The following is a 24006-nucleotide window of genomic DNA, read 5'->3' on the forward strand; positions in this document are numbered from 1 at the left end:
TGACTTTGGGAAAGACCATGGGCAAATTATATCACTTTTAGGAAATTTAATTTCCTTACCTACAGAAATAAGGCATGTGAATCAACTGATTCAGCAGGCTGTCTTCAGCAATAAAATTTTGTACTTATCAAGGTTCTTTCCAAGGCAGTATGTTTTTTATTTTTAAAAAATAACTTATTGAAGCTCAATTCACATAACTTAAAATTAACCATTTTAATATGAACAATTTAGTGGCATTTAGCACATTCAGTGTTGTGCAACCACCGTCCCTATCTAGTTCCAAAAGATTTCTGTCACTCCAGAGTAAAATCCCTTGTCCACTGTACTAGTCTGTTTTCACCCTGCTGATAAAGACATACCTGAGACTGGGTAATTTATAAAGAAAAAGAGGTTTAATGGACTCACAGTTCCACTTGGCTGGGGAGGTCTCACAATCATGATGGAAGACGAAAGGCGTGTTTTACAGGGCAGCAGAAAAGAGAGAATGAGAGCCAAGTGAAAGCGGTTTCCCCTTATAAAGCATCAGGTCTCGTGAGACTTACTACCACGAGAACAATATGGGGGAACCACCCCCATGATTCAATTATCTCCCATTGGGTCCCTCCCACAACATGTGGGAATTATGGGAGCTACAATTCAAGATGAGATTTGGGTGGGGACACAGCCAAACCATATCACCCACTAAGCAGTTGCTCCCCTTCCCTCCCTCTCCCCCCCAGCTCCTAGCAACTGTCAATCTGCATTCTATATGGATCTATCTATTTTGGATATTTCATACAAGTAGAATTGTACAATATGTGAGCTGTTGTGTCTGGCTTCTTTCACTTAACGTATCATTTTGAAGGTTTATCCATGTTGTAGTATGTATCAGTCCTTTATTCATCTTTATGGATGAATTATGTATATAAATTTATGTATATACCACATTTTGTTTATTCATCCGTTGATGGACATTGATGGACATCCATTGATGGATATTGATGACATTTTGTTTATTCATCCATTAATGGGCACAATAACCAAAAAGACATTTCCTTTTGGTTATTGTGAGTAGTAGTGCTATAAACATGCATGTACATGCATTTGTTTGAGTACCTGTTTCAATTCTTTTGGATCTACACCTAGAAGTGGAATTGCAGGGTTATCGGTAACTCTAGGCTTAGGTTTTTGAGAGACCTCCAAACTGTTTTTCACAACAGCTGTACCATGTTATATTCCGAACAGCAACATATAAAGTATCTGATTTCTCTACATCCTATTACAGCCATCCTAGTAAATGTAAAGTAGCATCTCATTCTCCTTTTGACAGAGCAATATGTGATCAGCTTAATTCCTCTAAAGTCAAATTTCAGTAGTAAAATAAAGTTGATGATGAAGATGTCTGAGGCCTCCAGAATTCACTCACTCCAATCACTCTCTTAGTGTTGTGGGACACCAGTCCTGACTCTTTATCAAGGTCACTAGCACCATGTTTAGAGGGAGAATTTATTTTTATCAAGGATAGTCAGGTCAGCTGTTTCAGCTGGGTAGGATTAGAAATACAAAGAGAGAGCAACCAACAAAAGGCACTAGTCATGGCACTTTAGAATACTACTCTTGCTTTCCATCAAAGTCAGTGGTTTAAGCATTCATAAGGAAGAATACTATGTTGAGGCATCTCTCTGAAATCACGGACTTTTTTAAGTCTTAAGAGCAAGAGCTCATGTTAAATTTGAAAAATAGAATTTACTTGTTTAATATATTTTTGCCTGAGTAGGTGATGTCATTTTTTTTTTTAAAGGAAGGCCTGAAGTTACATGATTTTAGGTCATTTTGTAGGGAATTTCAGGTTATGGCATATGCAGAGAGGTCTTAAAGGAAGAAAAATAATTGATTCAATGAAGGGACAGAGGACTAAGGCTCAAAACTAAATGTGCAGGGAAAGAAACAGAAGGCAAGAACTAAGAAGAGTATAAAAAGAACACCTTTTGATGTGGTGTGTCTGCAATACCACATACTTTTCTCCAAGGATAAGGAAATCTGCTTAAGGACCCCTGAATTTTAGGCCTCTGGAAAACTGTCATTAACCTCACGATACGGAAGCCTGTTCCATCATCAGTTTTCCTTGAGGATAGCATTGTTTCAAACCCAGACAAATAGTAATCATTTTTATTCCCTTTAGCCAAGAAGGGGCTAGAAATTGCTCTAAGGAGGACATTCTGGGAGAGCTACAGCCTCCATGAGTAAATTAGACTGAGAGGTGGCAATGTTTGCATGTTCATTTCCCAGATGTGAGATGAATAATTTAACCTGAAAGGTGAAATGCTCAGGAAAAGCAATAATTTAACCTGAAAGGTGAAATGCTCAGGAAAAGCAGATGGTCCAGAGATGCCATACTTCTCATGCAACATTGCTTCCATTGCTTGAAATTGGTGTCTGATTTTTTCATAGAAAAAATGTTATGAATATTACTTTGGAAAATTGTAGTGAAGTCATGGTCACACTTGTGTGTGTGGTCCAGTTCTTTGGGGTTCTCTTTTTCCCAGGTATGCAGCACTTTTACATCTCTGGGCCTCTGCTTGGAACACATCCCATGCAGGTCCTACTTCCCCTTCCCAAACCTTAACCCCTTCTAGCCCCCAGCCCTTTTTTTTGTCTACTCAATTCTTACCCTTTAAGCTTCTGCTTAAGCACTATCTTCTCAGGGAGGCAGCCTCTCCTGAGCTCCTGGCTCAAGTTAGAGCCCATGGCTATAAAAGCCAGTACCCCATATAATTCTTCTTTTGAACCCCTGACAATGTACCCAACTGCTTATTTAGTGCCCATCTTCCTCACTTGGCTGCAGGTTCCATCCAGGCAGAACCTTGCCTAGTTCTATTTCCTTGACACTGCTCTCTGTCCTAGCTCATAGTGCTCTTCAGACATTACTTAAGTTGACTCTGCTCTCCCAGGAATAAACATTACTTCATACTCTGAAAAGGAAGAACCCTATCTCAGGCTGCCCCATTTTCTCTCCCTCTCTCTTTTTTTTTTTTTTTTTTGGCTGTCTCTTTCTGAATAAACTGAGCTGCGCTGCAGCAATGGCTTCTGGTTGCCTGCAAGTGTGTGTTGGTCCAGACAGCCTCCTCCCTAACTACAGTCAGACGTTCTTCTCCAAGCTGTTCTGTTAGAAATTCTTCTAAAGAGAATTTCCTAGCTACACAAATGATACCACATTAACAACAGAGGATTATTATTATTATTATTATTATTATTATTTTGAGGCGGAGTTCCACTCCTTTTTGCCCAGATTGGAGTACAATGATGCGATCTTGGCTCACTGCAACCCCTGTCCCTGGGTTTCAAGCAATTCTCCTGCCTCAGATGCCTGAGTAGCTGGGATTACAGGTGCGTGCCACCACGCTTGGCTAATTATGTATTTTTAGTAGAGATGGGGTTTCACCATGTTGGCCAGGCTGGTCTTGAACTCCTGACCTCAGGTGATCTGTCTGCCTCGGCCTCCCAAGACAACAGAGGATTATTTTTAAGTAAATAATGCCTCTTCCCACACATCTGCTCACAGTAATGGCAGCATGATGTGAATTAATGTCATTAGAAACCCATGCTGTCCTCCAGAGTTGCAAAAGCCTGTCATAGGAAAATTTTATAGTCATAGAAGGATGTTCCCCTCCTTTGAGAGTCTGGTTTGCTATTGTTAGAGGAGAGAAGAGGATTCAGAAGGCTGCCAAACCTGTATGTTGCTGGTTTTGTCTCCTCTGGAGATTGGTGTGACGCTCATGAAGGGGACTCAGCCACCTGTGCAAAGCCCAGCCCTTTATTAAGTCACTGGGCATCTCATGGAGTCAGGGGATGAATTACTGATAGATGACTGGGAGGAGGGTGCTTAGGCACTGCAGTTGAGTGGCTCACAAGGAGCTAAAATTTCACTAATGCGTATTCAGTGGGTGGTTCTGGTTTGCCTGATTTTTGCCTCTGGGCATGGCTGTTTCAGCCTGAGAGGCTGTTCCAAGAATGTTGCTTTACTAGGAGCTCATGCCGCCTGGTGGTAAATATGAAGTACAGCAGTGCAACAGACCAGTTTTACTCCAAGGAAACCCTGTAGAGATGACAGCAATGGTTGGTGATTTCTGCCTCAATTATGAAAGTGATCTGGTGGCAAGTATCTGCACACTAATCCTTAAGTTTAAATCTAGTGGCTATGAGGTGCCCCTGCATGGCAAGCATGAATTTGCAGCTGGAAGATTTCCCTCGATCATATTCCAGTGGTTCTTAAATTTTGATGTACATAAGAATCACCAGGGAAATCTGATTGAAGTTCAGGTTTCCAGCTTCAGCTCCAGAGATTCTAGCTCAGCGGGTGTTAGATGTGACCCAGGGCTCTACCCATTTAAAATGAGCTTCCGATGAGGTTGGTCCGTGTAGCCTATTCTTTGGGAAATGCTGGCCTAATGGCTAAAAACATGAATTGGAAACCAAGCACAAGAAGGAGCAAGCTGATACTTCTGCCAGCAGCATGACATTGGGCTGCTGCTAGCCTCAGTTACTCTTCTGTAAAAAGGCAGTAATGGCCAGGTGCTGTGCCTCACGCATGTAATCCCAGCACTTTAGGAGGCCAAAAAGTGGGAGGATCGTTTGAGCCCAGGAGTTCAAGACCAGCCTGGGCAACATGGCAAGATCCCATCTCTATTTTTTTTTAAAGTCAGGCAAAATTCACAGGGCTGTTGCAGGAGAAAATGGGATCCTAATATAAAGAGCTTGATTCAGGCTCTGGTCATGGCAGGCACCAGTACATCCCAGCTCTTATTATTTGTGGTATTAATCCTAATTATCTGCAAGTTACAGGGCCAGAGAAGACTAGGGGAGTTCGGGTTTTCTAGACCAAACAGACACTCAGTCCTGGGCCTGGAGGTCTCTGCAGTGAGGTGCTGCCACAGACAGAGCCACCTTAACTCCTCAGGACAACCAGTGGCTTCCGACACACACTATGCACTGGAGGGCAAGCAGCTCTCAGCTTGGGAGCAACTGAGGATGGTGAACAGCCTGGGCAAGGAGTGCTCTGAGGCTAAGACCCTGAACAGCAGGGTCAGTATTTTTTTATATCTTTGTGCCTTTCAGGCCAAATGGAAGTTGGTAGCTCTCCTATCCCATTGCATTTCTAGAGCAATCTCTGTCTCCTCAATTATAAAGTGCGCTGATAATACTTCCCCAGATAGTTGTGAAGAACAGCTGAGAGATGATATGTGTAAAACCCTTACCTGATGATTGATGCTAATGGTCCTTGGAAAGTATTGTTCTCTCTCTCATTCCTTCTGGCGTGAATATATCCATAGTATCCTTTTCAAAGACAGATAGATCAAGAGAAGGGAAACAGATGGTCCAGATGTGTAGTGAGATTTTAAGGCAGTGTTTCTCAATGTTTTTTAAAAAATCCATGTTTCCCTCAATAAACATAAAAGTCAGACCACCTGTTTCTATATGTATATATGTATGTGTATATATATGTATATAAGTTTAATACATAGTATATGCATTAAAAGTCATATCTTGTATATTAAAAGTCACACACATATATATGTATATATGTATGGGAAATGTATCTATATGTGTGTGTGTGACTTTTAATATACAAGATATGACTTTTAAGATATATAGGCACAGCGGCTTATGCCTATAATTCCAGCATTTTGGAAAGTCAAGAGGAGAGAATTGCTTGAGCCTAGAAGTTCAAGGCTGCATCAAGGCTGCAATGAGCTATTATTACATCATTGCACTCCAGCCTGGGTGACAGAGTGAGACCTTATCTCTAATACACACACACACACACACACACACATATATATATATACACACATACATATATATATGTACACACACACATACATATATATGTGTGTATATGTGTATATATACGTGTGTGTGTGTGTGTAATTATTTTCTTTTCACCCATCAGGTTACCAGTACTGGGGTTATGAGTGTAAAGTAATATAATCACTTTGCAAGTTGTGAGGTACTGTAGATTATCCCATTGATACACTTTAATCCATGTTATTTTTTAAAATCTCCAATGTATTCTCAAATTATTCCTCTTTACAGAACCGAAGTGCAGCTCCCCACTTCAGGTAATGTGATTCTACCCTTTGCCTGAGAAACATATCCATCCTAATTGCCATGTGCTCAGCTGGACCACTAGAGGGAGCCATCCTGTAACGGGTGAGGTCAACCTAACAAATGGTATCAGTCGAGTATTGATCGGAGGCCAACGCAAGAAGTTACCAGTAGCCTATTTCAGATTTATTAAAAAACACATAGGTAACGAGTCAGAGCTTTGGCTAGGAATGATTTGGAAAAGAACTGAAGGCATAATTCCACAGGACATTCACAGTTGTGTGCTAGAGACAGAGAGGAGCAGGAAAGTGTTTTAGAAGCATTTGCGGTGGACAATGGAAGGCCCGGCTTCATCGTATTCCTGTTTGCTGATCCACATCTGCTGGAAGGTGGACAGAGAGGCCAGGATGGAGCCACCGATCCAGACAGAGTATTTGCGCTCCGGAGGGGCAATGATCTGTCAGTCAAGATGAAAAAGAATGGTCATTAATGTCATCATTAGTGCAGTCGTTAGTGCGGTAGGACAGAGCCTGGATGTTCTACCATGGCCTAGTTTCTTGTTCAGCAGGGACACAGGCTTGTCTGTTAGATGCCAATTGTGTCCTAATTGTGTCATGTTCTTGGCAGGACCGCCAGAGGGAGCCATGGATTTAGAAATTCTTCAGTAAGCACATTCGTTTTTCTCACCTGTAACTCTTCGACCACATTATTGAGCAAACTGAAAGTTGGCTCCAAATCCAGCCATGGCCCCCACTTAAGAACCCTGGCAATGCCTCTGATTTCCATGAACTCTGCCTCAGAATTCAACACGATACACTTTCTGTAGAAACAAACCCTAGCCTATTCAAAGGAGAAGTTTTAATTGTGCTAGGACTTAGTATACAAATGTGTTTCCACGTGGTGAAGTGAACTACCACTTTTCACCCAGATGCTCTGTTTAACATTGGGGAACTCAGGGTCCCCTGCTGGGGACATTCCCTTGCAATAGGTGCCTCTTAAGCTGCACTGGTTGGCCTTTCCCAGTGCACAGGCCTAACCTGCAAGGCATGCTCATGTTTCTTAAATAAATGAATGGTTTAGGCACAGAGAACAGTGAAAACTGGCTAACCAGTTTAATCTTTATCTTCTGAGCATTTACTTCTTAATACAAAGTACTGATATTTACTGAGCATGTAATTATATGCCAGGCACTATGCTAAGCATTTTACATGTATTATCTCATTTGATTCTCATAAACATCTTGAAGAATAAGTCTTAAATTACTCCCATATTACATATGAGGAAACAGAGGCTGAGAAAGTTTAAGTAACTGGCCCAGGTAACACCGGTTATATCAGTGTCAGATCTGATATTCAAACCTGGGTTCTCCCAGGTGGTTTTATGTTTTGGTTTGGTTTTAAAAATAACCTTTTTATTTTGGAACAATTTTAGATTTTCAGAAAAGTTGTAAAGAATTTAGTATAGTTTGGATATCTCCTCCAAATCTCATGTTGAGATGTAATCCCCCGTGTTGGAGGTGGGGCCTGGTAGGAGGTGTTTGGATCACGTGGGTGGATCTCTCATGAATGGCTTAGGACATCTCCTTGGTGATAAGTGAGCTCTTCTTCCGAGTTCACATGAAATCTGGTTATTTCAAAGTGTGTGGCACCCTCCCCCCACCCCTGCCCTCTCTGTTGCCCCTGCTTTTGCCATGTGAGGTGTCTGCCCCTGCTTCGCCTTCCACCATGATTCGAAGCTTTCTGAGACTGAGGCCTCCCCAGAAGCTGATGCTAGAGCTATGCTTCCTGTACAGCCTGCTGAACTGTGAGCCAGTTAAACCTCTTTTCTTTACAAATTACCCAAGTCTTAGGTATTTCTTTATAGCAACGCAAGAACAGCCTATGACAAATTCTATGGGAGTTCCCATAGGTCTCTCATCCAGTTTCATTTTTGCCAAATGTTATCATCTTATTGTCCTAGGTTTTTCTTGGTTCTCTATACTATCTCATTACATCGGGGCCCAGAGTTTCACATTAATTTCTATTCAAGAAACCAAGTTTAGAGAACTAGGAACTGCCCAACTCTAGCAATAGCCTCTTTCTGTTATCGACCCTCATGAGATCAACTCAGTAGTGAGCCCAGCTACTGGCTTCATTCACCTCCCTCTTGTGTGGAAGTAAGGGGGGTAAGAGCTGATCAGAATGGCATCCAAGAAACACAAACGCTGTTGGAAAACAGTCTCTCTTCTCTCATGCTGAAGTCTTTTAGGGCAGGACTAGCCAGAGCCTATCATGGAGAGAGAAAGTGTGCATGTTTCAGTCTAGCACACTCTCTAGTGTTAGCTGCATACTCCTTCTAAAAACAGAAGGGAGTGCAAAGAGGAGATAATTTGTTTAAATACCCACGTGTGTGAACTGCACTAGAATTGCCCCTCTACTTCCTGTGACATGGGTCAGAGGGTCCCAAGTGTGGCCTTCTGACTTCAGAGAGTGATAATAACCTTTGAGAAGTGACCCAGCCACAGGTTAAGTTTGCCTCCAAAGAATTATCTCCATTTAATCCCCGAGTTCCCTTCACTAGGGCTCAACATTCACACCACATACAGGGGTCCTGGGTGGCTCAGGGACTGAGCTTGGTCATCCTAGAGTCATTCTGTGCTTTTGAGCACCTGTACCAAAAGATGTGCTAGACAGAGGAATGAGGATAAAATTTGAATTCTTGGCCACAGGATTGAGGTTAGTAGTGGAGGAAGAGTATAAGCTCCTCCTAAATCTACAGTGTTTGAAGTTCTTCAGAAATAAGTCTAGGTCATCAGTATTTTTAAAAAATGTGTTACATGCATGATGCACTATTTTTGTGTCGAGAAAAACAACAAAATGCATATTTTAAAGAGAGATGAGCATGTGGGGAGCTCTGTTGACTTTGACTGCAGCTACTGAAAGTAGCTGACAGACAAGGATAAATAGAGATCAAATTTTATATAAAGTAACTCAATTTTTCTTATGAACTAGATTGACTTACATCCTGTAAAATATGAGATTTGTGTCCATTACCTACCCCTAAAACCCACAATTGCATGTCACCAAAATACAGTCTCTGAAGAGTTCTTATCTGTGGTTATAGGGCTGACACTGCTGGCGGCATTGCCACTGGGTCTGTCACTGAACAGTACCTTGATCTTCATGGTGCTGGGTGCTAGGGCCGTGATCTCCTTCTGCATTCGGTCGGCAATGCCAGGGTACATAGTGGTGCCCCCTGATAGGACATTGTTAGCATAGAGGTCCTTCCTGATGTCAATATCACACTTCATGATGCTGTTGTAGGTGGTTTCATGGATGCCAGCAGACTCCATCCCTGGAAAAGAGACACAGGCCATGGTCCTTAAGTGGAGAGTAAAACCCAGGCTAGACATGGAAGACCAGACTTGAACATCTGGATGATCTTGCAGTGGACTGAGGCTGGGAAGACATAATAATCTAGGAACCACCTGTCTGAGAGACAAAAGGGTCTTGTTATGCTCTATGTCTTCCTGCCTGCCTTCTAATGAGGAAGGCCTGCTGCAGCATCCTGAGGTGTGGGCTACAACAGGTATCACTGATTTTTTAATAGACTCACTACTCACTCCATGTGGTTTAAATAAGGGATGAAGCCTTCCAATTCCCTGCAAAGCTTCCACGCTGAGCCAATGTTGCAACAACTCTTCAGAGCTCTCCCAGGTCTCCATTTAACAGCTACGTTGCATCTGCCCCAGCCCCCAAAGCTAATGGGGCTGGATTATCAGGGAAACTTACTCTATTTTTTATCCTGTTGGAAAAGGCTCATTTTTCCAATCTTGCTAACATTTTTTTTGGGTGGGGGTGGGGGTCTGGACTTTTGTTAATTTCTGACGCAGGTGTTTTCAAAAAACCTCTAGGTGCCCTTTCATCTTCTGCAGTGCTGTGATGTAATGATAACGTTAACAATAGCACTACCTGATTATTAATTACTAGTGATATCTGATAATTATTGAATGCTTGCTTTTGCCAGGCAGTGGGCTAAGTGCTCTTTATCTATCTCCTGTAATTCTCACAGCCATCCTAGGACATAAGTAATATTACAGTCTCCGCTTTATACATGAGGAGACTAGTTGGGAGGTTAAGTGACTTTCCCAAGATCAAGAGAACTAAGACTGAAACCCAGGCTCACCCCTCTCAGAGCCTGCCTCTGTAAACAACTATGCAAACCTGTCTCTCCAAGACAATGTGAATGTAGGAACAGACTCACTTTGAGTGCTCTTCTATTTTTCTCTCCCCCAGCATTCCCAAATTCTCAGCCTTCAGCACACCCTTGCTACCCTTTCCGCTGTCTCCAAAGCACAGGCATTATTTAATTCTTTCATCATACACCATGAATGCTTTGGGCTTAACTGCAACATAGATAGTGTTTTCTTAGGAAGAAAACCTTTTTCCTGGCCTCATTATGTCTTCTCGCCTTGAAAATGTGGCACTTTCCCTTTTTCTGGTTTAGAAATGCTTTTGGTCTTGGGGCAACCGTCACTTGTCTCCATGTTCTGGAGGCTGGCTTGATATGGAAGAAGACAATGACTCCCCTTCCCAGGAAAAGGGCGTTTGTTGCCTACCGATGAAGGATGGCTGGAACAGGGTCTCTGGGCAGCGGAAACGTTCATTTCCGATGGTGATCACTTGCCCATCAGGCAACTCGTAACTCTTCTCAAGGGAGGATGAGGATGCGGCAGTGGCCATCTCATTTTCAAAGTCCAGAGCTACATAACACAGTTTCTCCTTGATGTCCCGGACAATCTCACGCTCAGCTGTCAACCAGATACAAACATTGTGGCAAACATTAGGGTCTGCACAGGTGGCAAAGATTCACCTGCCCTACTGCAGTCTCTCCCTCAAGACATGTGCCATCAAAAAATGTGTCAGTTCAATATTCTGCAATCCAAAATCCACAATGATAATGACGTAGTAGGGCCACCAGGGAACCACCTCTGTTCCTAGGACAGTGTCTCATGCATAGTAGGCCCTCAGCATGCATTGTCTGGGAAATGCATAACAAGAATAAAATGAGCTAGCTAGAGAAAGGCACACAGTAGCGGATCCTTTTGTACCATAACATTTTTTGGGGTGGGTGGGCAGGATAACTACTCTGTGTTATAATTATTTTATGACAGAAAGTTTGTTATATTGTATTTTCAGTTAACCAGGATATCTTATGCTGAATCAGCTCCTCAGGGGCCTCACAATTTTCAAAAAGTCTGAGATCCTGTTGCCTGGGCCAGTGGATAGCAGGTTAAACCTTTGGCACATTTCTCACCCTCCAGGAAAGAGGTGGTGCTGTCTCAGGACCAGGCCTAGTCCAGAAGGTTTCAGCGGTGCATACTGAACGAGATACGGAAGAAGTGGGCAGGGAGAGACCTTTCAGACTTCTGCTCTCTGAAGTTCTAGGCTATTAATTATATCTGAGGCTCTAGGAACCTTTTAGAGGCATCTTGGGATTCTTTGTAGGGAGCAGAGGAGGAATGCAATTATTCAACTTCATATTGCAAGTGGAGACTTTAACATTGGCAGGGTTCAAGTCTCAAGCCTCAAATTTGGAGCATAAAATAAGCCTCAGGCATGTTCAGAAACCTAAATGTTTGGACAATACCAAATTGCTAAGGGGAGGACAGGTAGCTGGAGCCACCAGCACTGAGGACATACAATGTTTCTGGCAATGCTGACACTTTCCTCTTGTGAAGGGAGGACTGGGTGCACCGGCTTAGAATCTGAATACACATATGTCACTGTGTTAGCTATTAATAAGTATCACTGTTAATAGCTAACAATTATTGAATGCTTACTCTATGTCAAGTATTCCACATGCGTTCTTCCATTTAATACTGATAACAATCATGTGATATAGGGTCTATTATTATCCCCATTTTACAAATAAAGAGACTATGGTTGGTTAACTTGTCCAAGCTCACAGAGCTACTGAGTAGCAGAGTTGGGACTCGAGTCCTATCACAATGTCTCCTGCCAATCACCACACCATGCCATCTTCAGTCTCTGCACAATCTTCTTCTATTTGCTAATGGAGGGGATTAAAAAAAGATCAATTATACAACACTGACTAATGCATAACACTGGGTGTCTATAACTGTTCTCCTCAAGGAAATAGTGTAATCATTTTGCAACTTCACACAGCAAAGAAAGATGTGCTTTGCTCTGTGCATTAGAGCCAGGCCTTGCCATTTGCAAAACTTCATCCCATCATCTCCTTGGATAGTGAGGATGGTCCTGGAAGTTACTGAGCAACACACTGCTCCCCTCTCCCCCTTATCTCCCACAGGCCTCACCAGTAGTAACGAAGGAATAGCCACGCTCAGTCAGGATCTTCATGAGGTAGTCAGTGAGATCTCGGCCAGCCAGATCCAGACGCATGATGGCATGGGGCAAGGCATAGCCCTCATAGATGGGGACATTGTGGGTGACACCATCTCCAGAGTCCAGCACGATGCCTGGGAGACAATTGGGCGTGATAAGTCACCATGGCAGCTGGCATGTGGTTACTTGCTGGACAAGTAGAGGGAAGCCTTGGGGGAGAGGGAATTTCCGAGCCTCTTATTTAAAAAGAGAAAACAGGGCATGTGATAGGAGAGGTGAGGTGGGACAGGGCTCGGGGAAGATGAAAAAAAGTAAAGAACAGGAAGAGGAAAACAGTAGAAAAAAGTTCTGCTAGAAATATGAGATCAAGGGCTTATTTTGAACACTAGAAGAAGATCTTTTAGGGCTGGGTTCAGCCGTGTCCATTCTAACTCAACTCCAGTCCGTCACCCCCACGTGTTAACGACCATTCAATCCCATCTCTGGCAGTGCGCTCCAACCAGCTTGCTGTCCCGCCCAGCCACCTACCAGTTGTGCGTCCAGAGGCATAGAGAGACAGCACCGCCTGGATAGCCACATACATGGCTGGGACATTGAAAGTCTCAAACATAATCTGCAAAGCAATCCAAAGAGCTGAGTTAGTGAAGGTGCCCATCTGACAAAGAATGGTCAGGAGAGCACACCTGGTTGATGGATGCAGAGGGGCCTGACCTGTTCTGGGCAGAGGAGGCCAAAGTAAGGAGGTTCAGAACAGCCCTGGTCACGTTAAAGAGGAGAAATGAAGGTGTGAATGGGGAGCCATCACATCAATGGCCTGACAGGGTGGGGAGGGGAAGAAACAGTGTGCACACAAGGTTTGGCCAGGGGAAAGGAAAGTCCAGCTTCTGGCTCTGGTCCTGGCTTTGACTAATAGTCACCAAACTAATAGTTGATTAATAGTGGCTTTATTCCAGGTCTCTTAACAGAGGAGGAGTTTGGACTAAATGAGATCTCCCATTTTTCCAGTGCAGACATCCTAGGGCTTGTTAACTATGTCAAAGCCAGAAGAAAAAGAGAAGACAACATCCAGGTTTTGATTTCCCTGGTATAAAGAAAGAGAACTTTTAAATCTGAAGCTCAGGCTGGCTAGGTTTAGCCCCATTTCTGTGATTTGTCTGAGGTTCTATTTAATCTATTCCACTTTTTTATGTAGTTACTGGGTCAATGCTAACCCTAGAATCTGAGGCCATTCTGGTTGCAGTGGGAGAGGCCCTGGTTCCTGGAAGACAGGACCAGCCCAATGGTAATAGAGGACCACATAGAATGTCAGTGCCCCAGTTGGTGCAGTCCAGGGACAAGATTAGAACCAAGCCCCTCCAGGTCACTTGTGAGAAGTTTGTGCATCAGGAGATGTCCGTGGGTCTTCATTTCTCCATCTGTAAGACCCTTCCTACTCTATTAACCAGAATGTCTGACATCATTTGCTAGCAAGCCATAATTTCCAACCATTTTTTTTTTTTTGCCTTCACACCACTGACAGGAACAATAATTCATCAGAAGCAACATCTCTTGCGACGTGCAGTGATTCCCAGGCCCACAGATGTTCCCCTGTAGAGAACAAGTGCTAGTGGGTTGGTGCAAGCACCAGGAGCTCTTCTGAGGAAAAGGCCTTGCAGTTATTTACATTTATGATTCTTCAATGCTGGAAGATCGTGGATCAATCCCAGGCTTTGCCAGTTCTAGCTGTGTGACCCTGGGAGAATTACTTAATGTATCTGAGCCTCAATTTCTTCATTTATGTAGTCAATATAATCATAGTTCCTGCTTCACATTGCTAGAACTTAAAGAGACAATGAATGTAAAATGCTGAGCCCAGTACTTGACCATAACAAGTATAGAATTGACACTAGACGTTGTTATTTAATAGCTCTTCCAAACTAGAAAACTCAGAGCTCTGTCTGGTGGGCTGGATGGGATTCTATTGTGAGGTCTTTAGCTTCAAACAAGTAATAATAATGACAATAGTAAGTACTATATTTTGGATGTTTATTAGGAACCATGATACACATCTGTCATTTCACCTCATTAATGTTCACATCAATCCTTGGAAAAATGATAGTATTAATATTACTCCCAACTTATAGACAAGGAAACTGAGGCTCTGAGAAATTAACGGAGTTCTTTAAGGTCACATAACTGATAAGTGGCAGATCCAGTTTTCAAACCTAGATATGTCTGACTCTGGAACCCAAATTCCTATTGTATGTGATGCTGCATTTTGAAGTGACTTCTCCTTAGACATTATAACTTAAACGTGGCCCCTTCTCAGTGAAATCTTTTAAATTTCCTATTGCTTTTGGAGGCAAAGGGCTGGTCCCTGCAGGAAGGATGCAAGTACTTTCAAGCTGTTCCTGTCCTTTGGGATCCCTGAGTTCACTGAAGGCTGTTAGTCTGTTGGTGGACTCCTAGCTCCGGCCTTCTCTCTGCTGTGCTGCATAGCCTCCTTCTAACAGAAGTTTCCCCAGACCCCACAGTGTTGTGTGCTGGGGTAGCATACTTACTTGAGTCATTTTCTCCCGGTTGGCCTTGGGGTTCAGGGGTGCCTCCGTGAGCAGGGTGGGATGCTCTTCAGGGGCAACACGAAGCTCATTGTAGAAAGAGTGGTGCCAGATCTAGTGAGTTGGGGGACAGAGGAGAAACACAATGATGTGCTGTCATGAGGTCCTGCATTTCCCAAAAAGGGACCAGAAGCTACTTGAAACCAAGACCAAAGGAAATGCTACAAGTACTCATGCATGTGTCCATGGTTTTATAGATGCAGAGACTGAAGCTCAAAGTGTGTAAGTACCTTCCCAAAGGATTCACATCTACTAAGTGACTGAGCAGAATCCCTAACCCAGATCTGTGAGGCAGGATGGTATGGCAGTTAAGGGCACAACCCTTGATCAAACCTTGGGTTCAAAGCCCAGCTCGGACACTTCTTAGTTGTGTGAGCTTAGGCAAGTTTTTAACCCTTCTCAGCTTCAGTCTCATGATTGGTAATAGGGAGATGAAAATAATTAGTGTGTACCTCATCGGGTCTTTGTGTAAATAAATAAGGTAACCCTCGAGTTATTGTCCAGCCCAGTGTCTGGTCCAGAATCAATGTTATTATTATTCAACTCTATTTTCTTTGTTCTCTCTTCCCATTTTAATGTTCATGGGAAAATGATTTAATTTTGTAAATAAAAAGACAAATGAATGTATATATGAATAAATGACGCTTACTTGAAAACCTAATTGACACTTTTAATGCTTCTAGAGAAGTTGCCCTTTGCAGTGTACATGAAGAAGAGAACAGGGCTCTCTGACTCTTGCCTCCATCACCCTCTTTGCTCTCGAGGGATGAGAAAAGCTTCCTCTATCAGCACACTCTGGATCTTCCACTCACAGTCAGACATTTGGCCTTCAGGTGTTTCCAAAAGGCCCACGCCTGTGTATAGTGTGTCTATGTGAAGGTACTTTGGACATAACTACATTTATTTATGGTTGAGCACTTTCTTTAATTCCTAGATGCCGAAAAGAACAAACCATTGCAAAAAGGACTAAATTAATTAATCTTTAAAAGCACGAAAATTCTCCACCAGAGCCAGGAATATGAGATTCACTCAAAATCAAAACAGAGCAAAACAAGAACTGCTGGTGAAAGCTTACAAATTAGCAAAACCAAGATTAGCTTTAAAGACTATCTTATTCCACTTTCTTTTGTTTTGGATTTGTGGTTTATAGAAGGGAAATGAAACTTCTGAAAGTTTTGTTTCTTTAGTGGAGTGAAAGCAGCAGACTGCTCAAAAAATCCTGCCAGTCACAGCAAGCAACCTTTCTCCTCTCTCTCTCTTCGTCCCCACCAGAAGATACTTTGAATTTAAATTTTAGAAATAAGGAAAGTTTTTTCTTCCAATAGTCTCTGTCTAGGACGATACATTCTAAGATGTTGTCAGCTCCATGGAGAAATTCTAAAAGAATATTTTCCTATTGATATTGATATCTTTTTCTCTGTGCAAACTGCAATCTTACCAAATCTAGAATCCTCAAGCAAACCTACTGATATGAAATTTTTGTAGAAAGATAGAGCTTGGAGCATTACTGCTGATAAATTCTAACAACATTATGTATTTTTCTTTTAAGTGATAAATTGTGTGCGTAGTAGTAGTAGTGAGCCGATAGATAAATAAAAGGCCAGATATCGTGATTCTGATATATCTTGCTGCATTTAAAATTTTTTATGTCACTTTCTCATTATTTCTTCTGTTTTTTTCTCTGATCACTGGTGTCTGTAATGTTTAATGACCAAACATCAAAATCTTAGAATTTAGCTCTTCTTCTCATTAGCTCTTTTATTAAGTGTCTGGGAGATAAGGCCTCATGTAATGCAACACAGATAAATAATTTTTAAAATATTTATCATATAGCTTTTTTCAGTGGCTCTTGTGCTTCAGTGTGTGGAGAGGCATTCAGAAATGTACCAAACCTGCAATGTTACACTCCTGTTTACTATAGTGAAAACAAAAACATTTTTAATTTAGATGTTTAGAGTGAGTTAATGAAAACCTTTCAAGAATGGGCTGTTTAAGACTACTCCCAGCATTTCAAGCCCCTTTAGCTATATTGCACTGAGAGGGATAACCATGCAGCCCCTGATGAAAATGAAAGGAGGGTTTTCATTCTCTGAGCTGCTGCTCATGCACTGCTTGTCCTAGGAGGGCAACAGAGTTGACGTGAGCAACAGATGATTAATTCCCTGCAGTGGCAAAGGGCTACTCTTCTCATCTACAGAACTATCATCCTTTAATTAGTTAATAAAACCTAATAGGCAAGGACATTTTTTTCCTTTTCTTTAGAGACAGAGTCTTGCTCTGTTGCCCAGGCTGGAGTGCAACAGCTGATGGTATGATCAGCTCACTGCAGCTTCGAACTCCTGGGCTCGAATGATGCTACCACCTCAGCCTCCTGAGTAGCTGGGACTACAGTTGCATGCCACCACACACTGTTAATTAAACCTTTTTTTTTTTTTTTTTTTCAGTAGAAACAGGGTTTTGCTATGTTGCTCAGGCTGGTCTCAAACTCCTGGCCTCAAGTGATCCAGTGCTGAGATTACAGGTGTGAGTCACTGTGCCCTGCAGGATTTTTTTCTTCTTTTTTTTGAGATAGGATCTCACTCTGTCACCTAGGCTGGAGTAGGATCTTGGCCCACTGCAGCCTCCATATCCCAGGCTCAAGTGATCCTCCCACCTCAATCTTTCAAGTAGCTGGGACTGAGGTGTGTGCCACCATGCCTGGCTAATTTCATTTATTTTTTGTAGAGACAGGATCTTACTATGTTACCCAGCCTGGTCTCAAACTCCTGGGCCAAGCGATCCTCCCACCTTGGCCTCCCAAAGTGTTGGGATTACACGTGTGAGCAACCATGCCTGGCAAGGGATTTTTTTTTAAAGAAACATTTTAGGATTTTTTTTTCTTTTTTTTTTAAATTTTATTATTATTATACTTTAAGTTTTAGGGTACATGTGCACAACGTGCAGGTTTGTTACATATGTATACATGTGCCATGTTGGTGTGCTGCACCCATTAACTCGTCATTTACATTAGGTATATCTCCTAATGCTATTCCTCCCCCTCCCCCCACCCCACAACAGTCCCCGGTGTGTGATGTTCCCCTTCCTGTGTCCATGTGTTCTCGTTGTTCAATTCCCACCTATGAGTGAGAACATGCGGTGTTTGGTTTTTTGTCCTTGCGACAGTTTGCTGAGGATGATGGTTTCCAGCTTCATCCATGTCCCTACAAAGGACATGAACTCATCATTTTTTATGGCTACAAGGATTTTTTTTTCAATGGGTAATAACCCAGAATGAACATTAACAAGTAAAAGTACAGTTGAGCAATGTGAGCCAGTTATTTCCCCAGCAGTAGTGTGGTGTTCTGTATCAGAGAACACAGGGATTATGCATCCTGAGGGCCCAAGCTGCAGCAAACCTCCCATACCTTTTCCATGTCGTCCCAGTTGGTGATGATGCCATGTTCTATCGGGTACTTCAGGGTCAGGATTCCTCTTTTGCTCTGTGCTTCGTCACCCACGTAGCTGTCTTTTTGTCCCATTCCCACCATCACCCCCTAAAAAGGTTCAACACATTATGAGTCAGCATCTCCCAAAACTTGTGAATCAATTACAGCCAAGCCACAAAAGGTTAAGTCATTGAGATGGGAAGTTCCTCTTCTGATTATCAGCAACAATAAACATATTGAGTCTCATTGCCACTATGCTCTTAAGCAAAATTCTGCAGTTGATTGGAAAAAGACCTGAATTGCCTCCAAATAACAGGAGATGTTGGGGGAAAGTCAACTTTACTTTGTATTTTTATCTCCTATGTTCCTTGATGAGCTTTTTTAGGGCAGAGATCATGTCTGTCTTGTCCATCACTATAGCAAATTGCATGGCACATATGTGGCACTCAATAATTATTTGTTGAAAGAATGTATACAATTTTACATATTTGTTAAATGGCATTTTGTGTCTTATAAATCCTTTAAACTGTACTTTTAAAGTCATCACCTACCCAAAAGAATATGAGCATTATTTTCTAACTATTATAAGCAAAAGCATTGCATCTACAAATAACCACTTGAGGCTTGATTTCTAATGGATAAGTTCATACCAATCAACTGTTAAGACATTTGCCTAAATTAGTCAGCTGCATTTAAAAAAAATCATTAAGGTGAAGTTCTTAAAAAATTATTGTTACTAGATTTTAAATTGCACTGCAGTGACTATTTTAGAACTACAAAACAGCCATGGCTACTATGGACCCATAAAATAGCGGCTTGTGCAGAATATCTCCACTGCATAAAGATCAATGAATTCAGACAGACTGCATTCATTGGGAGAGGTTTCTATTATTTATTCTCATGAATATATCCCAAGCAGAGAGGCATAAACATCAATCAGATAGCCTCAATGCACAAACTACATTTCTGATGTGAAGAAGAATTTCTGAGGTGAAATTACTGAGTTTTTACCATGTGATGCCACCAATACTTTGTTTACACATAATGTGTAAAATTACCATGCGGCTGTCCAAATATATTTTGTTGACAGGTAATATTATGTAAAATTGCATTTGGTATCGATGCTTGCTTTCATCTAACATCAGCCCTGTATGGTTAAGTGACCTGGACTTTTATTTTAGTTTCTTTCCAAACAGTAGCTTTGGTATACATCAGGATAATGTATAAGCATTTCTGATGGTGATGAAATGATTTGATGATGATGATGATGATGATAATGACTATATTTAGACAAAAAGGACATGAAAAAGGGGCAGACTTTGTATCTGATAGATGCCCATCAGATAATCTGTCTACATTATATGTGAAATTGGCATTTACTCCTGGACCTTAATCATTAGAGGTCTATTTGTAACAAGGTTACATAACTTCTGGGCAGAAAGAGATAGACAATCTGGGGATAAACATGAACACAGAGGAACCTAATCTGTGTCCTGTTATGTTCCAATCATAATTTTCCTCACCTGATGTCTGGGACGTCCCACAATGGATGGGAAAACAGCCCTGGGAGCATCGTCCCCAGCAAAGCCGGCCTTACAGAGCCCAGAGCCATTGTCACACACCAAGGCAGTGCTGTCCTCTTCTTCACACATAGCTGGAGCTGCTTCACAGGATTCTATAGAAAACAGGGAGGAAGCAGCCTCAGCTGTAATTGGGCATTTGTGGCACTTACCTGACAACTCCCACCTCCAAGGCTGGGTTTGGGGGCCCTCCTCTGTGTCCTAGTGCTATCCTCTGACCCTTATCTAATATAGCATGTATCTGGAAGTACTTTAGTTACACTATAAGCTTTCAGTAAGCTGAAACTCTGACTTCTGAAACTCTGACTTCTATGTTGATACAACCTTAGTGTAGTGACCGGCATATCATGTGTTCTCGTGAGCACTTTAAAGGTGGATAGAGCCAGTGAATGAATAAACAAACTGCAGAGCACAGATGGGAAATCCAGAGTCTGAGACCAGATCTTTGCAGAGACAAGTTGCCTACCTTATGTTAAAGAAGCATCTAGATTTTCCTGTCTGTATCAACCCAAATGCACATTTTTCTAGATATGCTATACCTTTTTGAAATTTTTTCAAAAAGCTAGATTTTTGAGGGACAGGCAGCATGTAAAAATTTAGAAATGTTAAAATGGTCAAGTGTTTAATGGAAAAATCTTTTTGAATCATGAGGACTTTTACTTTACCCTCAGAGAAGCTTTGAAATAAAATTTTCTGAGAAGGTGCTTTAAATTTTAGGGGCTGCAATTATCCACCGTTAATAAAAGTCACTGTTAAGCTAACAGTCCAACAAGTGAGGGTGAGCCTGATGGATTATATATCATATGGTAGAATACTTTACTGCCATTAAAAAGGTAGAGTAAGAGGATAAGCAAAAGGTAGTTCTTATGTAAGAGTAATAGGTTAGAAAAAGTAACATTGTAAATCTCATTAAAAATGTATTTTTTATGCATTGCAAAAAGATTAATCATATTTACCAAGATGTTGACTGAGGTTATTATGAAGTGGTGGGTTTTATAGGTGTTTTTAATTATTTTCCCATGGTTCTGTCATATTTTTTTAATTTTCTATATTGAATGTGTATTTCTTTGGTAATAAAACAAAATTTTAAATAACCCATTTTATACTTGGATCTTATACTTGGATCCTTTCATAAAATTAGAAAGGCTGGAGCAGCCTATCAACTTACAAATTTGAGAAATTGAAGGCATATTAGAGGACATTTTCATCCAATGCTCTCATTTTCACAAATAAGAAAATCAGGAAGTGATTGCTCAAGGGCACACAGGGCATTAGAGGCAGAGCTCCAGCCAGACATCAGGTACTCTTTAGCCACCCCTTGGCTTCCAGTTCAAGACCTCTTCCACTTTTCTAATCACAATTAGGTCGAAATGTTCCGTTAAGAGAAGGACACCCAGAGTTATCTGCCTGGCATTGAGATCTCAATTAGGATTTCAAATTGAGAAAATTTCTTCTTCTAAATGGGTTAACTGATTGCACCTCCAAATCCATATAAAAAAGGCAGTTCTTTTAAGGAAACATCTGAGAAGTAGGGAAATAAAATAGCTATTACAGAGTTGGAGTTCTGCCAAAACATTCCCACAAAATCAAACCTGCATCTTGCCAAAGGCCTAAAACTTCCTTAGCAGTGCTTCATGTAAAATAACTCTTTGCAAAGAACATAAAACTGCAATTGAGATGACATATTTTAAAGTCAAGGCATGTAATATTATCTTCAACTGACAAGGAAACCAAGGCTTAAGGAGTTGAAGTGACTTGTCCAAGAGCCTTGAACTGATACATTTAGGACAACGAAGATTTCAGATCACAGTGATTATGAGCTTAGACTCTGAAGTCAGACTGCCTGGATTTGAGTCCAGGCTCCAACAGTTAAAAGCTGTGTGATTTCAGTTATTTAACATCTCTAAACCACAATTTCCTTACTATAAAACAGTAATGATATCAGGACATACCTCATGGAGTTCTTATAGAGATTGGGTTTTTTAAAGTGTTTAAAATAATTTATAGTGGCAGAGATACTCTAAGTTCTCAATAAATACTAATTTCATCATCATTATTATTACTATCACTGTGTGATTATTTTCATTATCCAGAACTCTTTGTTTCTAACCTTTGCTTTCTTTCCACACTGCTCCAGGCTTAGAATAAAAATAATCAACGTGTGGATTCCACTTGCAAGAATGGACATGGGACTCATGAATGGCTTGCCCTTTCCTTTCCCACCCTTCTTTTCCCTTTCCAGATGCTGAATTATTTTGGCATTCCTGTGATTTGGCTTCCCTCAGAGCAGATTAAGAAGCTTTAGAAAAGAGGCGAGAACTATAAAGGAGAAAAAAGGGAAGAAGCCTAAGAGCCTGGGGTATCTGTCAGAAGCAGCCAGCCCCAGGGGATAAGCAGGCACTCTATGGATGTGCTAAGTGCATTTTCCAAACCAAAAGTAAGGGCTGAAAAGAGGATAAAACATTTCAAATTAGGATGGTCTCTGAAAATGGGAAGGTATGGTTACCATGAATGCTGGGATATTTTTAATAACTGTTTTGTTGGGCAGTGATGGCTTGGGAGGAGGGGTTGACTATACTCAGAAAAAGGAGACTGGCCCTCAGCATCAGCAAGAATGCAGAAAAATGTTTTTTACTTGGCCAAAAAAAAAAGAAAAAGAAAAAGAAAATCTAGGAAGAATGTTATAATGTCCAAAAGGAGCACTGTCATTGAAGAAGTCACTGTGTCCCCGGAAAGAGTCAGCTCAGTGGTTTACAGCTCCTCTCTAACCTGAATGAGCAGTTCGGTTTGGAGCAAAGCATTTCCTAATTAGGTAAAACACGCTCGAGTGTCTGCTTTTGGAACTGCACCCGGGTCAGGGGATTTGCTCCAACTGACTAGAGTGCGTCTTGTGCCAAAAATGAGTTGATGGGAGGGGAAAGAACAGTACAGTTCCCAGCTCATTGGTCTTGAAACACAAACCATATTTAGTCATGAAACACAAAATGCTAGGAAAATCTCAGCATGAAAACTCCAGTCTGGGCTGAAGCTGCCAAACCTTGATTTGCAGTGAAACTCAGCCTGGGTTGGCAGGGCTGGCTGCACAGTCACACTTGCCTCACCAGGCTGAAGGGAGCTTTAAGCTGAGGGAGATGCAAACCAGATATCCGGCCGGGAGGCACACACAGCTGTCAGATGCAGGCTCTGCTCCCTCCCTCTTTCTTTCCAGAGAAAAATTCAGCAGGTCACCTGCTGCGCTCTGCTGCAAATGACCAATGATGTAGATCCAAACTTGTAAGGTCACACATACACATTTCCAACAAAAAAGAGATATACATTTCCAACAAAAGACACTACCAGTTAGAGCCAGGGAAACCCAGAAGGGAATACACAAATTCAGGCACAATCAAAGACTAGGCAACTATTCTTCTGTTCACTTCCAAAATCCACTTCCAGACACCTAAGCTGCACCAAAAATACAGCCCAGTGAAAGAAAACCCCTACAACAAATCAGAACCAGAAAGAAATCTGAGTTTCCAGTGCCTAAATACAAATAAATGTATAACTTACTGCACACAGCTAACCTGCATACCTGTATTGTGCTGCAAGATCTGGGCTGTTTGTTTAGGATGAACATTTTACAGAAGACATGCATTAATAAAATTTTCATATTCTTCTCTACCCCTTCCATCATACCAAACTACATATTAGCCCTGTCTTTAACGTTAGATCATTAAAGCCAAAAGCTACAATCATTTTAGTAGTACAATCTTCATTCAGAAATATCAGTGCATGAACCCAGCCAAATCCCTGCAGATGATGTCTTATTATACCGGGTAATTAAAAGAGCCACTGGAATCTATAAGTCACATCCTTGGCCTGGCGCCACTTACCCTGACAGTGCTTGGCTGGGCTGCTCCACACTGGGTGGTGTTCAGGGAAGCTGAAAGCTGAAGGGTTATATAGCCCCTTGGCCTGCTCTCCTCCCACTTGC

General features: G+C 41.7%; 1 protein-coding gene and 1 long non-coding RNA gene across 12 annotated transcripts in view, besides 1 other annotated feature; one reads left to right on the forward strand and one right to left on the reverse strand.

The window, feature by feature from the left end:
- Positions 3450-3549: an enhancer, noted in NCBI's record as "active region_3731". NCBI's record gives its function as "activates an Ori minimal core promoter by ATAC-STARR-seq in GM12878 lymphoblastoid cells {active_cell/tissue: GM12878}" and the evidence as "EXISTENCE:reporter gene assay evidence [ECO:0000049][PMID:35858748]".
- On the forward strand, positions 3859-11149 carry ACTA2-AS1 (ACTA2 antisense RNA 1). Its single transcript, NR_125373.1, has 5 exons — positions 3859-4134; positions 4816-5061; positions 6073-6748; positions 9387-9651; positions 10570-11149. It is a non-coding gene; the product is annotated as an ACTA2 antisense RNA 1 (long non-coding RNA).
- The window catches only part of ACTA2 (actin alpha 2, smooth muscle), a 56264-nt gene continuing 38506 nt past the window's right edge, over positions 6249-24006 (reverse strand). For 4 of the 11 annotated variants that reach the window (NM_001320855.2, NM_001406462.1, NM_001141945.3 and 1 more), the window contains 8 exons: positions 19977-20128; positions 18433-18561; positions 14972-15082; positions 12960-13044; positions 12404-12565; positions 10682-10873; positions 9236-9417; positions 6249-6541 (listed from right to left, as the gene is read on the reverse strand). In NM_001320855.2, coding sequence (NP_001307784.1) covers positions 6398-6541; positions 9236-9417; positions 10682-10873; positions 12404-12565; positions 12960-13044; positions 14972-15082; positions 18433-18561; positions 19977-20105 — 1134 coding nt within the window. In that variant the 5' untranslated portion in view covers positions 20106-20128 and the 3' untranslated portion in view covers positions 6249-6397. Of the gene's footprint in view, positions 6542-9235; positions 9418-10681; positions 10874-12403; positions 12566-12959; positions 13045-14971; positions 15083-18432; positions 18562-19976; positions 20129-23129; positions 23275-23905; positions 23949-24006 lie in introns of those variants that run through there. The other 7 variants (NM_001406467.1, NM_001406468.1, NM_001406464.1 and 4 more) reach the window with 6 other exon arrangements.

The sequence above is a fragment of the Homo sapiens genome, chromosome 10 (assembly GCF_000001405.40).
Source record: "Homo sapiens chromosome 10, GRCh38.p14 Primary Assembly".
In the NCBI taxonomy this organism is placed as follows: Eukaryota; Metazoa; Chordata; class Mammalia; order Primates; family Hominidae; genus Homo; species Homo sapiens.